Source organism: Homo sapiens, chromosome 7, assembly GCF_000001405.40.
Source record: "Homo sapiens chromosome 7, GRCh38.p14 Primary Assembly".
NCBI lineage: Eukaryota > Metazoa > Chordata > Mammalia > Primates > Hominidae > Homo > Homo sapiens.
Window position 1 is genome coordinate 14,955,844 of NC_000007.14, and position 19,319 is coordinate 14,975,162.

The 19,319-nt window shown below is 33.1% G+C and overlaps 1 protein-coding gene across 5 annotated transcripts in view; it reads right to left on the reverse strand.

Annotated features, from left to right (window-relative positions):
* DGKB (diacylglycerol kinase beta) overlaps nucleotides 1-19,015 on the reverse strand; it is an 829,810-nt gene extending 810,795 nt beyond the window's left edge. For all 5 annotated transcript variants that reach the window (NM_001350722.2, NM_001350711.2, NM_001350717.2 and 2 more), the window contains exon 1: nucleotides 18,853-19,015. The gene's annotated coding sequence lies outside the window, so the exon portion shown is untranslated. The remainder of the gene's footprint in view (nucleotides 1-18,852) is intronic.

The window sequence follows — 19,319 nt, forward strand, 5'->3', positions numbered from 1 at the left end:
AATAATATAAACAGACAGCGTATTTGAAGGATCCTCATAACCTAATTTGATTTCAGGCCATTGGAGATTAACTACCTTGTAAGAACTACTAGAATGACATTGAAGAGGTAGGCATGAGGTATGTGTAGCCTGAATGAGAGTAGCACCTGTCATGGAGTAAATATGATCATTCTAAGACAGATATACAAATAACATTGGCAAAACTCGTGATAACAAGGTGTATCAAAATATAAAACAAATAAACAGCAATTCAAAATATGCTAAGACTCATCTCAGGGTAACTTTAAGAAAAATGATAACCGATAGATGTAAAAATTTTTCAAATAGAGATTAGGAAATTAAAGTAACTAACTGCCTTTTCCATTTATGCATAAAGGAGATTTCACACATTTTGATAATTTCAAATGCAGTGCATTTGAATAGTAGAATCCTCCCCAAACCAGAATGAATCTTGCCCCTACAATGACTCCTATGTCCACATAGTAAAGGACTCAATAAATTTGTTAAAAGTTTGAGTTCTATTACTCAGCAAAGTTCACTACCAGCACATAACTATGTGCTGCAATTTAATAAATTAAAGTTTTGGTCAATATTTGGTAAGGATTTTAGGAAGCCTTTGTTAAAAATCAAAAGGTTTTGCAAAGTAGTAAGTAATTTACTAATGGGCTCATATCTTTAGGGGATGTGAAAATGAACTGCTAATTAATTTCCTTTAACCAAGAATTCATACACATTCTATTAGTATCAAAGAGGCTACATGAATAAGACAGCTTCTTAACCTCTAGAAGCTCTTAGCTTTCAGCAAAATTTCATTGTCTATACAAGAAATATTATTGTAACATCAAAGATCAATGTGGTTGCATATAAATATACAGGCACTTGAGGAGAAGAAGATAATATAACCATGAGTGCAATGGAGCAGATGTAAAGATCCGTAGGTGTCAGCATTAAGGTGAATTTTTGTTTGTATCTGAAGTGTGATACTTCTACTAGAGGGAAAAGTCGTTTCAATTTTTTTTTTTAAGGCAAATGAGCAGTTAACATGAAGTTAAACATTCTTGTAGCCTTTCTTCCTGTCTGCTACCTCCCGGCTTCCTCCCTCCAACCCAACCTTCACATATCCATTGCAGAGGAATTGAAATTTTCACTTAAAGCCTGTCAGTCATACACAAACATTTTTCAGAGGCTATCAAATGCCCAAATAGGAATTTGCCAACCTTTTGAGCTTTCTAGTTTCATGGTTGAAAATTTTCTGTTTCAAAGTTTAGCATCTAATTAAATCGAATATCCCAGTTTTTTTAAAAAAAGGGCATAAAAAATCTTTAAAATGCTTAGCCTGATTCAATGACTAAAAAGAGGGTTCCCCAGACAGAATTTGAACATCCCTAACAATCATTTGTTTAAAAAGACTACATTACTTATGGAGTTTTCTAGTGATACACCAAGAAGAAAGACTTAGAATGCTGCTTTGGTCTATTTGAAGAGTTATTTATTGTGTGGTACCAATGGGAGTGATACAATAAATAATGTGATCTAGCATTGGAGACAGTTTCTTATGTAGCCAACTATAATACAAAGCAGAATGTGATAACTGAGGTACAAAAGAGCATGATAATATAAGAAGCTGAGAGAAAAATTTCAACTAAGAAGTTGAAGAAAGACTACAGAAGTGTGCCACAATCAGGAGGAATATATGAATATATTTCCTGAGGCTAGCTTTTGTGCACCTAACAATGATCTTGAAACTCCTTCTTTATAAGTTACATATTGCCATTTATATACTGTATCTTGCTTTGTTAACTGTTTCTATTTCATATAAGACTGCCACAATGTGTAACCATGCCTATGTCTATTTATTACTTTTTCTGTAATTACTTTTCTGTATTACCATTTGTATTTATTACTTTTTTCATGGTTTTTTCTTACTTGCCCCAAAGTATTTCATATAGTGTACCTGAAATTATTTAATTTGGCAATAAAGTAAATGGATTCATTTATAGAGTCTTAAATGAATGATACAAATAAAAAGATAGTGAAAGTTCAAAATTTAGTTGACTCTCGTAGCACTATAAAATCATAAATTTTAAAAGTATTTCTTTAAAATGTTTTTTAATAGAAATACAACCTTGTTAACAAATAACTACTTGATAAATATTGTGTTTACGTAAAATCAGTTTAGGGTAGAATCTGTTATATCTTATATGTACAATTTAAATGCATTAATTTGTAACCCTTATACAAATTCTAGATTGTTCTTATTCAAACAATTTTGGCAGCATCGGTTTATAAAAATTAAGTCAACATCCAGTCAATCCTAGTGTCCATATTACTGTATAGAGGAAACTCACACATCTAACAGGTTAGTTTTTCTAAGAGCTGCAAAGTTTTCCAGGATAGAATGAAGAAAACTTCTGAGAGGCCTGAATGGTCTCATGAGGAAGGGCTCATCCCTTGAGGGAAATCTGCATACAACGCAATGGTTTTATTTTAGACAAATAAAGGGAGTAGATGTCAGACAGTGAATGTGTTACACAGTTACTAGTTTTCCTGTTAAGCCCAAACCCCACACCAATACCTCTCCCAACACACACACACACACACACACACACACACACACACACACACACACACACCCCGTCCAGGAGATGTTAATAAAGTCAGAAAAACAAAGAAGAAGCCTAAGCTTCGGGAAATTTCTCTTTCAATATTCTTCCTTTAATTATTGGCTTTATGACCAAATGTCCCAAAAATGCCATTTCCTTTTCTTAAAGTAACCAGTATTTTCATTGCTTCAAGCCTTTTCAACTCTAGCCTGTTTGTGGCATATGACTGCGGGAGTATTATGCACATCCTTGGCCATGTTTTTATCACCTCCTTAGATGTAAATGTAACTGTTTTCATAAAGCAAGTTTCCTGACACCTGCTGGGCACAGAGCTGGATGTTGTGAGGATGTTGTCCCCACATAGCGTGCTGGAATCTCTCTCTCCTCCGTGGGAGCCTCCCTTAAGAACAAAAGCCTTTAGGTGGATTAAAATCCTATATATGAGAAAATGACTGTGTTTATTTCTGAATCAATAATCCAGATTCAGAATATCAGAATCCAAATAAAAAGCTAACCACATGATTCCAAAGTTTTATTCTGGAATTCATCTCTGTCATTTGGTTGAAGAATCATGACTGATATTGATTTGGTGTTTTATATGATATTTTGTTTGGGATTTTATTGTTGTATAGATCAACAGGAGGACAGTTGGATAAAGCGTGACATCTTTAAAAATGTGTCTTCTCATTTAGGAATATTGAATATTTTACCATTTGTTCAGTTATTTTATATTCTTCAGAAAAAAATATTATACATTTCATCATATAATTAGTACATTTATTGATAAGTTTATTTCTAGGTACTTTATAGTTTTTTTTCAGTTACATTTGCTAATGGGTTATAGCTGGTTTATGTGAAAGCTACTGATTTTGACAGACTGATTTTATACCTAGCTGACTAATTTTATACCTGCAATTTTCAGTGAAATAGAGTTTTTTTTTTTTAAATGTGTGTTTTATCCTCAGGGCATTTTAGATGGGAGGGGAGTTATATGCCTTTGTTCCTTCAATCTGACATCATAATCCAGCTTCTTGAATTTAATATTTTTAAATTTGGGTATTTACAGCCCTAGGATTCACTAAGGACAACATAACTCATTTGTAGCCTAGTAACCATGTTTGTCACCAAATTACATATTGCCATGCTTACTAAGTAACTGCTCCAGTGTGCTCTTTCAGTGTGCCTGAAAGAAGTAACTGGAAAGCTCAGTAAATTTAAGAATTTCATTTCTGGAGAGGTGAATGTATTTCCTCCACAATCATATCTGTGGGGAGAAGTGAGTGAAAAGCTCTATAACATTAGATTTTACCACTGAGATTAAAAAAAAAAAAGGCAGTTTTCTATAGTATTTATCCTTCACTTTAAATCCATTTACCTAAAAGATTTTATCCCACTTCATATGAAAATGTCTATATACCTAAAAATATCTAAATATGTACACATATACTTATTTATAAGAATTATTCATGCTTTTCCTTAAGCAAAATGATTCTGATATTCAATCATGAGGGAAAACATAACATTTTCTTTCATCACTTTTGCACAAAGCGGTCACACTGGCTGTATTTTTACAGGGAAGACAACTTCATCGTCAGTCATTTAAGAACACAGGCATGAGATACAAATTAGAAATGTACCTCAGTGTGACTTTTGGAAGACAACTGCGAAGTTACAGATATATGATAACTAAGATCAGCCTCTTAACTTTGATGTATTTATACATTTTGAAGATCAATTTGTGAAACATAAGAATCAAGCGTGAGGTGTGACGAATGCGTTTAGTTTACTTTGAAAATTTTGCTGCCACTCAAAACAGTACTTAAAGAATATATAACAGCTTGGAAAATTGTGATCTATTTAAAAAAGCAAAATCTGAATTTTTTATACTACTTGATTACAGAAATGAAGTTTTCACCTAAAAAGTTTTTTTAATGAACCAAATATATTACCAGGACTTACATTTATATACTAAAACTACAGGCAATCCTCTGACTTTATTTTTTACTGTTTTACAAGATGGACCTAAGAACTGTATTTTTTTAAATAAAATATATTTTGAAAGTATCATCAATAAAGAAATAGTGCTGTGGTAAAGGCAAATAAGAGTAGGAAGTATATAAATATAAGCTCCTGTATATTGTAATTTGAGAAAAATTTATTATACAAATATAATTTTGTATAATGAAGTTAGAGAAAATCCAGTCAAACAGTGAAACTGACAATGAAAGTGAGGGGTTTCCCTAAACTTTATTTGCTACCAACTAAGGTCAATCTGTGTTATTATTACTAATGTCACATCACAGATCATCTTTTTGCCCATTCTGACATCAATGTGAATACTGTATACTTTGTACTGTGAATACATTTATCTTATCTTCCTCCCAGATGTTATAATTTATACTAACAAATATTTCTCTTGTCAAATTAAGCCAAAGATAAGCCATTGGTAAATGTTTTATTACCCATGATCTCGGGCGTGGGCGGAGGGCTTAGGACAAACATCAGAGAACATGACATCTCAATTTAAAGATTTATTACAGGTTATTGTGAGGGCTATAGGCTCTTTTCCCTAAAGGCTCACTAAAAATCACTGACATGAGGTGGACTGACTAAGGAGAAAAAGCATACAAATCTATTTAATGTGTATACAGGAGAGCCTTCCATTCCATCCATCTTTGACATATGTTCAGTCATAATGCTTTCTATTTCTGCTTTTTCCTGAATTTTTAACATATTTTGAAAATATTTGCATTTTATTGTATTTGTTTTGAAGACTTGTGTGCATGAAGCTTAGCTTTTATTTTTTTCCACATAATAAAGTTTTTTGAACAAAACATTGATTTTATTTCCATATTCCTCCATTTTCTCTTCAGACACACCCTGCTGATAACGCCAAGACTCTTTAGTAACCAAACCTTTCTAATTTAAGCACATATAATTTAGGATTTTATTAAAGGGTTCTGTCTCAATGAATTGTGTTTAGTAAGTTGATTAAAGTGCACTCCATTTTATTAGCCTCATGTGGCTGACATGTGGCAGTCAGGGCCATGCCTATGGAGATGCAAGGGAGAACCACCTGCCCAGATCTGAAAAGTGTGGTTGGGAGCAACAGCTTCCACCTATCAGCTCCTTCTGTTTCATCACAGCTTTTGAGCTGGGGTCACTCTTCTTGAAGTGGCCACAGGAGATAATTGAGCAAACTATGACACAAATGTCGGGCCATTTTTGCTTCACACGGAACTCTCCTAACCATCAATGTTTCTTTCAGACCTCCCTGTTGGGCTGGTAGATTTTATAAAATCCAAACTGTGGTCTGAAAGTTCCTCCTACACAATCCTGCTTCTTTCTCACCCCACCCACAGCCCTTTTTTTAATAGGTGTTACTCTCCAATAAACTTTGCTAGCCCCTCTAAACTTCAGTCTCAGCCTCTGCTGCTCAGAGGATCTAAGTTTCACACAATGCAGAAATGATCTACTAGTAACACAGCCCAAAGTATTGCACACTAATTAACCATGTTATCTATCCAATGGGTAAAAACATGTCCTCTCAGCCTTGATATTAAGTGGGGCGATATATTTACGAATTCTTTAAAATTACAATATCACCAGCCATAAAACCGTTTGTCTAAAACTTTAAAAAAATTGTAACTTTGAATAGTATGTGACACAAGTGTATAATTCTCAATCATCAGTTTAATTCATTATGTATGAAATGGTTTGCATATTTTATGAGGCATTTCCAGATATTCAAAATAGAGAAAAATCTTGTATATCCATATTCTGAGTACCATTTCTTCAATTTCAGAAGTGAATAAGGTAATTTTCAGTGTGAGAATGGCTGTATCTATTTGCATTTTTTACTTCAGCAACAGAATTTTAAAAGATATCCGACCTTTCCTACTGTAGTGATTAAAGTAATAGCAACAACATAAGCATTGTGTTGCCTTTTTTAAAGATCAAAATTGCATTAATATTTTTAGATTTGGAATGAAATAATTTATTCTGAGGTATAGAGTATGTGTTCATATTTATAAATAGACGCTTTTCATCATGATCCTGATAGGTCAAATTTTGTCTCTTTCTTTTTACTCATTCAAAATGTAATGAAATATCTACCTGTGCTTTCACATAACAGATTAATATTTATGGAGTGCTTTGTAAATAGCTATAGCTGTGTGTGTGTGTGTGTTTGTGTGTGTGTGTGTGTGTGTGTGTGTGTGTGTAAGCACGTATACAGGCAAATGACCAGAAAACATGTTAGTAAAATTGGCAAGGCTAATAAAGTTTCTTACAATGATTTCAAGTGAGATACAATTTTTCCTTTTCCATTTTAATATTTTCATTAAACATACAATGTCACAGCTACTAATGTATAAGCTATTATATGATTCAGGATTCTACCAGTTGCAAGTGACAGAAACTCAACAAAAATGAGCTTAGGCAAGATATAAACTATATTGACTCATTAATTAAACTACAGATCTCAAAGCAACCAGAGCCAAAAATTTATAAGCCACTTGCTCAGTTGAGCACTTTCATTTTCTCTCTTCCGTTCTCATATTTGTTTCCCTTGCCCTGCTTGTCTTATTCTCTCAAACTGTCTTTATAAAGCTAGAAACATTGACCAGACAGTTTTCAGGCTCTCCCCTCTTAGATTTCCATTCCAAAATAAAGGATGCTTATCCCATAACCCCAGCTTTAAAAATACATGAGCAGAAACGTTTTGTTATTTTGCTTGGTGGATGCTCTCTTCTGTGGCCAAGAGGGGGGTTACTAAAAGGAGAACCTTATATAAAACTAAATAGTTGCTCTGGAAACCCTGAGCTTTGGAAGGACAAAATAAATACACAAATACACAAAATGTACTTTTCATTGTCTAACAAAAGATGGGAAGTATGGTAGCCAGGGAAAATCAGTTGATGTGCACATTTGTTCCTTTGATCTATTTCAGTGGAAGTTCCTACTAAGTATTTGATTGAAGTAATCAAATTTGCCAAAATAAAAGTTCAGTGGAACAGTCAGAATTCAATTTATTTAGTTTGTAAATGGTAAGATGAACAAATATTTGAGAATTCAAAAAAGTGTTTAACCCTTTTATGAATAATTAATCAGGTGTTTCCTTAAAAGTAAATTCACATTGGAGTGGAGGAATGGTCGTCTGCCTGTTGAGAATCAATTCACTTACTAAAATTCAGAGACAATGGTTGGACAATTGTTTGATACGCTAGGGAGTGATGGAGAAAGATTTGATTGCCAGATAGGTTTGTTGTAGCGCTCCTGGTTTTAAGTATGTGCTAAATTCCCATTTCTCAGCTAACATTTCTTGAGATTTTTTGGTCTTCCTTGTAGTAGGTGGGAGATTTGCTCTAATTTGATCAATATTAATAAAATTGACCACGTTACAGTCAAGCACTGGCAAACGTGAATAAATATAGCACAGATCTTGCTCTGTAGCTGCACATAGCACAATTAGGAAGACACAAAGGTAAAAATAAAATTATCCATACATATATATATACACAGATGTATGATATTTGTTATAATAAAGATATTCAGAAAAATTTGCAGTGGGAAAATTATTTATAAGAAAAAGTGTGGAAGTTTGGGAATAGGGAGAGGTTTTACTTTGGAGGTGATGCCCAGTGAACATTTGGAACAATCAATCTCCTTATCAGTTGAGTTATGAGTAAGAAGAAGGAATAGAGTCACATAATATGTGCTAAGGCATAGAGTCACAAAATGACATCATATTTTGAAGAGTTATAAATATTTAAGATTGCCCAGCCCAGTGGCTCACACCTGTAATCCCAGCACTTTAGGAGGCCAGACAGGCAGATGGCTTGAGCTCAGGAGTTTGAGATCAGCCTGGGCCACATGGCAAAACCTCATCTCTACAAAAAATATAAAAATTAGCTGGGTAGATTGCACCTGTGGTCCCAGCTACTTGGGAGGCTGAGGTGGGAGAATCACATGAGCCCAGAAGGCAGAGTCTGCAGTGAGCTAAGATCGCACCATTGCACTCCAGCCTAGGTGACAGAGCTAGACGTTGTCTCAAAAATAAATAAATAAGATAAATGGAAAATAAAACACATGAGTATTACAGACAGAATTTAGATGGTTAGTAAAGGCCAGTAAATCAATGATCTTGCAGGTTATGCAGAGGGCACTAGAATTTAATCTATCATAATTGGAAGTTTGTAAACAGGAGTTGGGCTAGTTAGGGGGAAGTGAGAAGATCAAGCTCTCATTTTTAAGAGATCTTGCTGGCAAGATTGAGGAGGAAATATTGAGGAGGAATTGACTGTTGGTCATTAAATGAGATAAGATGCAAAAGGGATAATTTCTTGAACCAAATCAATGACACTCAAGATTTACATTATAGGCTTTTATGGTATTCAGGGTTATATTAGTTGCAAGTGACTGAAACCCAACTAAGAATGGCTTATGTGACAGATAGTACTGGATCATAACCCAACAATGATTACAATTTGAATAGCATAAAGAAGATAAAATAAATAAGGGATATGGATTGACTAGATCTGAGTAGTGAAAAAAGCAGAGGTAGAGGGAATGGATTCACAATATTTCCTTCTTCATGATTGGTTTTATGATGTTAACACAAATTTCATTTGGGAGGATCAGAAGAATATAAGGTACAGGGCTAGTTGGAAGAGAATACATTTTATTTTGATATGTAGAATTGAATATACCCTAGATATGCAAGTAGAAAAATCCTAGAAGCAGTAGGTTATATTGGTTTATACTTGAATGGGGTTAAGTCATTTTAAAGACATAGATTTGGGAGATGGTTGTGTACACTGTACTTTGAAAATAAATATATTGCCATAAGTATATAGTTAAGAATGAGAGGAGTTATAAAAATTAGTATGGAACTAATATGCAAGTACGAGGAGGGGAATAGTTTTTAATACCCCAAGTAGAACTCAGAGCATATTTTTATATGAATAACTCATCTCAAGTAGATGGAATTTATTAAGAAGTTCTTGTGAAAATTGCTAACAGAAACTTGAGCATCATTTATAGCATGGTTTCTAAGAAAAATGTACACCAAGTTTTAGAATATTAAACAAAACAAATAAAACACTTTTTTCTTATGGATTGGTAGCAGTGTATATTCATGGTTATCAATTAATGATTACTAATCTCATATACATTCATAAGTAAAATTATAATTTGGTTTAACACACAGAAATGAAATAGAACTGAGTGATTATAATATAGCAAAACCACCCTTCATGCCTTGTTAAACTTACACTGGCCTGACATCAAAATAATATAAAACTATTAAAAAAGAAGTCTCATTAGTTCAAAAATGACATGTTTGGCCCCTCAATGCTCTCTTTCATTTGGCACTGGTCCTACATAATGAAAACCATTTTTCAATTCACACATAGGCATACTCTAAAATAGCCATTTCCATTTTGCTCTTTTCATTACATTTTTGTACATCATGATATGAATCTATACTTCTGTCAAAAAAAACTATATCCTCCCAAATCTGATACCCTGGTTGGAGATTTTTTTCTTTAAGAATAGGTTTATTGACAATAATTTTATAAATATTCTAAAACAATTTCAAAATTTCTTAAACTTAAAATGTCTAAAATCTTCTGTTTAATGGTTGAAATAAAATCTTAATATTGGTTGAAGTTTTTTCATCCATAAAAATTTTATTACAACAGTCCATGCTAACAATTTCCTTCTCCTGTTTTCTACTGGCTAAAAAGAAAAATACAATTTGACTCTTAAATTTGTCCCCCTAGTTAGACATATAGTACACTGATGAACCCAGTCTTAAGAGGCTTTTTTATACCTCACATAGCACAACATGAAAGACATAATAAAAACTTACTAAATAATTTTTAATGATTCAAGCTGGTACTATCAGAATGGATTCCCATCCTTTTCCTTATTCAAGGAAAAATTCTAATTAGATAGAAATGGTGGAAGTTTCAAGGGAATACACACATATTTGTGTGTATATATATATATATATGTACATTATTATTTTTTAATAGAGACAGGGTCTCACCATGTCGCCCAGGCTGCTGGTCTCGAACTCCTGGCCTCAAGCAATCCTCCCATTTTAGCGTCCTAACGTGCTGAGATTACAGGCTTGAGCCACCATGCCTGGCCTTTAAGGGAACATTCAATCAAAGTTGTTTACTGCCTGAGCTTGTGCTGCTTCCATTAGAACAGACTGACCAGATGAGAGATTTGTTTGGATTTTTATTTTTGGCCCCATTCCATGGAATAACCTCAGGCAATCTAATTAATTTTTAATTTTCTTTCCTTTTTTTGTCAGCTCAAATATAGAGACACTATAAAGATAAATAATTGAGAATCAGAGAAGGGGCTATATATAATTACTGAGAATATTTCATTACATACCATATAAAATCTACATTGCAGAATGTTAAATAAAAATAAAATAATGCAAGATGCTTAATATCTAAAGCTCTTTCAAATTTCATCTTAAGGAAATATTATGCATGAATTGTACATTGTACAATATATTTTGATGTATTTTATTCATTTTATATATAATGCAAACCTTTGCAATAAGCCAGTTATTTGAAATGAACCAATTTAGTGAAATGGTTTATGGTAGTTATTGGTTCACTTTAACTACTGAATTGATTTTAACTTTTATTTTTAGACTGAAACTTTAGCTGGTTAGCTGCAGAATTTTTTACTTGAAAGACGGAAAATTTTAAATGAAAACCTTAATCCATATGTGCTGGAGAAAATCTAGGAGGATTTCAAAACTCCTACATAAGAATGCAAACAAACTATTTCATTCACAGCACATCCTAAAGAACAAGTGTTTCCTGACTTGATTTATTTTTATTTTTATTTTTATTTTTATTTTTTTGAGATGCAGTCTCTGTTGCCCAGGCTGGAGCACAATGGCACTATCTCAGCTCACTGGAACTTCTGCCTCCTGAGTTCAAGCAATTCTCCTGCCTCAGCCTTCCAAGTAGCTGGGATTGTAGGCATGCACCACCACGCCTGACTAATTTTTGTATTTTTAGTAGAGACGAGGTTTCACCATGTTGGCCAGGCTGGTCTTGAGCTCCCGGCCTCAAGTGATTCATTCACCTCGGCCTCCCACAGTGCTGGGATTACAGGTGCGAGCCACCGCGCCCAGCCCGTTTTCTGACTTTACAAGCATGTGATTTATTAAAAAAAAAAAAAAAAAAAAAAAGTCTTTCATAATTAAAAACAAAACTTTATTTTTTTTGGCCTAATTTTATACATATTTTTCTGCAAAAATGTAATTATAGAGCTTAAAAAACTTGAAATATTTTTACTGAATTGTTTAAAATGCTAAAAGTAAGTAACTTATGTAAGACTAATGAATTGCAGTAGAAAATTTTAGCCAGATAAAATAATTAGAGCAAAATGTATTAGAGAGATTGAGAGAGAGAGGGAAAGCAACCTAAAGTTAGTGCAAAGCAATAACCTACTCTAATAATTACTGAGGATTAATGAGTATTTCTATTTCTGACAAACATATAGTGAGGTAAAAAGAGTGACAGCTCATTCAGCCACACTCCATATAGTAGAGAAATTCAAAACTGAAATACCTTTGTCCATTTCTCCTTAATGCTACCGGTTGCAAATAGGTAATAAATATTTATATGATCCTCTTTACATCTTTTTATCTCAAGACAAGTTTGATCTTTGTTCTTGTCTTTTTTTTCAACAAAACATTAAAGTATGGAGATTATAAAAAAAAAAGCTAGCTTTTAGGTGATAAGTAACAATTAGAACATGAACAATTTTTTAAATTAGTTTCTAACTTGAGGCTTTAGAACATTTGATTTGAATAATCTTTGATCTATTGTGTTTGTGTACATGACTACTTGAATCAAGCTAAATGTAATATTGTATTCACAGTAAAAAATCTATGGTAATAAATTACATATTTGTGGCTCCTTTAAATATAGACGGAATCAAAATTGTAAGATTTCAAGAGGGCTCTTTGTGAAAAACAATTTAATAAGTTCTTTGATGATTGGAAATATAAAAATCCCAACTGTCTTTTCCCATTCACTTTCCTGGGGTTCCTTTTTTGCCTTGAGTAATTTACCTAATAACCAAATCTCAGACTTTGAAGGAACCTGAGTGTCATCCAGCTGTTTCTATTAGCCATTGTTTGGATTCTCCTTACAAGGCCACAGGGAGAGAGTTACTCATTCTTTACCCAAAAATTCCCAGTGACTAAATTCAGGCCCTTTGCTCTGGAAAAGCAGACCCTGTCAAAATGGAAGCAAAATGTGATATTTCTCTTGAAATGTAGTACATGGCATTCTTTATTTGAGCATATACATTGATTAAATCACAGGTAATTTAATGTTTTTAGCATATTGACCATACATTTGCATCATGCAAATAATGTGATGTATTTGTTTAAAAGCTAATACTGTTATTTTGGGCTTTTTCTTACTATGTATTATCAGCTACATATTTAAAACTAAATATAAGAGAGTCCATTCACTTTTGCAGAATTCATCTTACTGGTTTTCCAGTCTGTCATTTATTTTGATGATTTATTGTCTTGACCAGCATTATGCTATTTGTAAAAGAGTTAACAAAAACAATCATAACAATTGCAGCAACAGATTATGGTGATATCAGAGAACAACCAAAGGTAGGTAGAATCTTGATATTACCGTCTGTCAGTTTTTCTTAAGATTTCTAGTATCGCAAAAAATTTAAATGAATATCAACTTCATACTTTCAGATCTTGCAAAATACTGATGCTAATCCCTGTGTAACACAAATATGCCTGGGTGATACTAAAGAAGGGTGATTGCAGATACCCTCCAGCTTAGGAAACTGAGTTACAGTCAGGCTTCAATGAACAATGGGGATACTTTCTGAGAAGCCTGTTGTTAGGTGATTTCCTCTTTGTGTAAATGTCGTAACTGTACTCATACAAACCTAGATGGCACAGACTACTACAGGGGTCCCCAACCCCAGGCCAGGGACCAGTATCAGTCTGTGGCTTGTTAGGAACCAGTTTGCACAGCAGAAGGTGAGTGGTGGGCCAATGAGCATTACTGCCTGAGTTCCACCTTCTGTCAGATCAGCAGCAGCATTAGATTCTCACAGGAGCATGAATCCTATTGTAAACTAAGCATGCGAGGGATCTACGTTGTGTGCTCGTTATGAGAGTCTAATGCCTGATGATCCCAAAACCATGCATCCCCCAACCCCCATGGAAAAACTGTCTTTCATGAAACAGGTCCTTCATGCCAAAACGGTTTGGACCATTGGTCTACTACACGACTAAGCTAAATGTTATAGCCTATTGCTCCTAGGCTGCAAAACTGTATAACACATTACTAAACTGAATGCTGTAGGCAATTATAACACAATGGTAAGTATTTGTGTATTGAAACACATCTAAACATAGAAAAGGCAATGTGTTCTACTGACACATTATGACATTATGAAGTCTAAGACATTGCTAGACTATAGAAAATTTTCATTTTCACTAGAATTTTATGGGACCTCCTTGTACATGCAGTCCATCCTTGACTGAAACATCATTATGTGGCATGTGACTGTATTTGAAAGTGAAAATTTATGGGATCAATAGATCATTAAGTGTAGTAACATGGGTTGGGCTTAATTAATCCCAATAAATTATATGACATGACTTCAATCATTCATTATTTCATTTGCTGAAAAAATATTAAAAGTTTTGTAGAGATTGGCTGCTACCAATGATGATAATGACGATGATGATGATGAACTATCACCATCACATGCCAGGCATCCTGCTACATCTGGAGAATTCAGCATTGAACAACATAGAGTTTCTTTACTCATGAAACTTAACACTTCCTAAGAGGGAACTAGACAATATAGCAAACAAATAGTATGGTTTCCAGAAGTGACAAGTGCTATAAAGAAGTAAAACAGGGTAATGTAAAACTGTAAAACCTTGAGGCAGAAACAGGTTTGGCAAATAAAGTAAAAATTAAAAAAAAAGATTTATAAAGCTATAATGTTCAATAAATGTTAGTCGATTGAATACATGAAAAAAATGAGTTGCTCATAGGAAAAATGAAGGAATAAATAAATAAATAAACCAGAGGAGAAAAAAACACATAGCATATCCTCAGAATGCTCCCGTGTCATCAATCACAAAGTGAAAGCGGGTAAAATTGCCCTCTTGTTTTCATACCCCTTCCCCTAAAGTGAATGATTGCCTTTCTGTAATTCTCCCCCTGACTCCCAAAGGCTATACTTTTATCTTGCTTTAACAGGGATGCAAATCTTGAAGCTGGGAATACACTGCGTAGTATTCTTTGAATCTCTCTTTCAAATGTTAACCCCACACTCTTCCCCAGCCATAGACACCATTTCTGAACGGCAGGCTGGAGTGCAGATGGACAGCGTACACTAGGATGGCACAGATACCAGGGAAATAAGGTCAGGAAGTGGCAGGGAAGGTGTCACAGAATTCTTGAACCATTTTTTTGTAAAGCCCTAAAGTTTCAAACGCAAATCTGAATGAAATATAATTAGCATTTACTTTCATTTTCCCAAGGAGTCAAATAAGGTAAACTTTTGTGTCACAATGAAAACAGAACTAAGTCAGAGTTCTCTTCCTGATGACTTCAATTGTTGGGATTAATTTCTCAGTTGAACAGCATCTGCAGGTGGGATTATTCTGCTGCTGCTTTTTTCAACTCAAAATATTTTCTGACAGATGGTGATAGCAAGTAAACAAGATGTGTATTTCAGAAGCTGGAGAATTCTTGGGCTCATGAAAGGAACAATAGTCATAAATAAATATATTTCGAAGTGCCCCTGTGTTGACTGAGCTCTGAGATATTAGAGGAAAAAATCTCATTCATATTGCAGGAAATCAAGTTTCCTACCTCCGTTTCCACTTCTGAATAATATTAACAAAAAGCTTGTGGTGTATTCTTGGCGGAAAACTCTAGCCACAAGATAGCTGTCTGTGTGAACATTAAATACAGTACTTTTACAAGAATTATGTGGTTCAAGATTTGTAGCTGAGTAAAAATACCTAGCCAATTTTTCATATTCTAACGGCAAGACAGTCAATTGAATTTAAAGCAACATTTCTGAAACCAACTAGGCTTATTTAGGAAAAAGAATGAAAAAAGAAATAATAAGTACATTAAAATTAAACGTATCAAATGCAACACTGTGGAAAAATTCCTGGATAGATGAAAATCTTTTATTTTTATTTTTTTCAAAAAGTCACAGCAATACCTAAACTTGCCTACAAAAGGATATTGAAAGCATTTTTTTTTTTTTTTTTGAGGTGGAGTTTCACTCTTGTTGCCCAGGCTGAATTGCAGTGGCACAATCTCGGCTCACTGCAGCCTCAGCCTCCGGGGTTCAAGTGATTCTCCTGACTCAGCATCCTGTGTAGCTGTGATTACCCGGCTAATTTCTTGTACTTTTAGTAGAGATGGGGTTTCACCACGTTGGCCAGACTGGCCTTGAACTCCTGACCTCAGGTGATCTGCCCACTTAGGCCTCCCAAAGTGCAGGGATTACAGGTGTGAGCTGCCATGCCTGACCTATTGAAGGCATTTTTAAAGAAACTCAAGATTATATTGCTACAGAAAATAATGGCAGGCCAGTTTACATTAGGTTCTAGTTGTGAAAAAAATTAGAGTCTGGAATGTCTATTTTATTCACAAGTGCCATTTTCACCATGTATTGCAAATAAACTAAAGCTTAATGTATCATCATACTATAACATAAATACTAGTAAAAATCTCCATTTTAGATTTAATATATTTCTAAATTTTAGAATTCCTCATGTACTCTAAAAGCTATTTGATGTAACTTTTGCTGGCAAACTGGACTAAATAATTTTGTGACTAACAGAGATTATGCTTCTCCTTTTATCCTAAATTTATAAGCAACAATTTTTATTCATTTCCAGATCAGTTAACTAAAATGTTTGTTTTCAAATCCACAGGAAAGGAAAAGAAAAAAATAACTTGCTATCTTCTCTTTCTGTCTTGCTATAAAATCACTGAACTTAAATAAATTTAAAACATTAGATGAAGGAGTAATCATCACATTGAAGTGATGAATTAAAGATATGACTAGTATTCCATTAGATCTGAATTCAATTTCTTAATATTTGAATGCCTCTTATAAGAAGATGATTGCTGATGTCCTCTCAAAGATTGTTGAAAAAAAAAAAAAAGACAAAATCTGCTGTTGCTTAAATCTTCAAATAAAAAATCATTCTTAGGAAATTGGATTCTAAGTTTGTTTGCCTCTTTCAAAATTTTTAACAGAGAGATTAAAATGTAGTTATAGCGAAATATATCATTTGGATTACAGAGAAGAATATGCAGATACTTATCTTTCCACTCTAAACACAAAGCATGTGAATGTGTGTTTGCGTATGTGTGTATACATACATATAGGTGGGAGCTTGCAGAAAGTGGGTTAACGTTATATATGGTCTAGGAAATCCAACTAATGCTTGTATTATATGATAAAAATAGGTTAGATGGATGGTTTGGAACAGATTTTTTTCATGATATACAATATGCTCTGCTAAAGGCTTATTTTAAAATAGAAACTATAATTTGTAGGGGAAGTATGCCTCTTGAAAATAAATCTCTTACAAGGCAATCAATTTTGAAGTTTTTTCACTAAAAATACAAGTCTGAAATCCTCCCGTCTTGAAGTTTCTACATATCCAATAGACTTCTGAATATATTTCTTCTCTACTTATCTCTATGCTTACCTCTATTTAATTTTTATTTAAAATACTATTAAGGAATATTCAAAACATTTTTAATTGAAATTAAATGTATTTTCTTCCTCATCTATATTGTGTATATTATAGCCACAGTCAGTATAAGTTAGAAAATACTGTTTAGTTAAAATTAATATAATCAAAATATGTATATCTGGACTCTAAAACAGAAATTGATACAATAACATATGGATTGAAAATTAAGTTAATCATACTATTTCTTTTTGTTGTTGTTGTTTTGTTTTTTTGTTTTGTTTTGTTTGTTTTTTGTTTTTTTGTTTTTTTTTTCTTTTTTTTTTCTTTTTTGTTTTTGTGTTAGTTAATACACTCAGAACAACACACCCTTCACCAAAGATATTTCTGTTTTTCTTTGGGTGTCTCTAGCACCAAATTATGCATTAGAAAACAAATAGCCTTTTAATCATGTTTATGCAACTAAGAAATTATAAGACATCAAAGTGACCATCTCTGAGATTACAGCCCATATTATATATGACGCATAACAGTCACATTGTCTTAATTGACCAAAATAAATAGTAAAATTTTAAATTTCAGATAGGTTGTGTATATATAAATTACATATAAAAATAAATCTAAAATATATTATTTTATAATAATAAATTTAAGATACTTAAATTTATAAATATTTAAAATAAATTTAAAACATATAAATTTAAAATTATTTAAAATAAAATTAAAACATACTATTTAAAATATATTATTTAAATTAAACAAGTGTTATCAGGAAGGAATTCCTCTTATGAGTTTCAGATTTGGCTCAGATCAAATAAAAAGGCAAACATTACTGGGAAAATTGCCATTTGTCAACTGTTCCATGTCATATCATGTGGTAATACAGTTCTTTAAACACCAAATGTCAGAATACTGACACTATACTGTACAAACTAAAACAAGTACAAAATTGAGCATAAATAACCCAAAAATACTGGCAGCTGTGCATTTGTAAACGAGTGGTGTTTGTGATGACTAATATTTTCTTTCTGTGGTTATAACACACTGCGTTTATTTTCTATAGGACACCCCTGGGGAAAGGGGGCAGAAAACACATGAGAGACAAGTTATTTTTAAAGTTGACAACAACAAAAAGATTTTAAATCTTTGCTTAATTAAAAAAGGAATAGTACAAGTAGATGACTCACTTCTATCTTTAAAAGCTGAAAATTAAAAATTATGCAATATCCTAAAAGTATAAAGACTGATTCAAATGTTACTTCACATAATAATCTTCAAATATATCTCAAAACTCACCTATCTAGACTATTTGTTCCTATAACTGAATTGTACTTTAAGTGCAAAATATAAGCAAATAAAGAGAAGGGCATTTATTCCATCAAATAGATCCTTATGTTATAATGATAAAACCATGCTTCCCTTTTAACTGATCAAAAAGTTAAAGCATACATTTTTCAAATATTCAAATCTTACCTTTAGAGAAACATTAACATGAATTGTTTCTTCATCCAACTGTGATTCAACATTCCCTAGCCAGTAAGGTACTAATTTATGTACAAAAGCAGAGGTTCTGTGTGTTACATTTTATTCAGAAATATAGATGACATTTCCTTTTACTAGGTAGCTTAGAGTGACTAGTTCTTGTCACAATGTTGTCATAGTGATAGTGACATCAATGTACTTCATGGTAATCAGTGCGGCGATTTATCTGAGAAAAATAACAGCACCGATTTCTAGTGTATTTTACATTTCAAAATGCCATCAAGTATACTATTTAATCTACTACAGGTAAATTGGTTTCTTAAGTAGAGCACCCAGGACTTTAGATGAATTGAGGGCTATATGTATCTGCGAAATGCGGACAAAAACAGTGTCTGAATGGATGATGGGGGTATTGGTGAACATAGCCAAGAGATCATAATTAACTGGTTGCTAAGGAA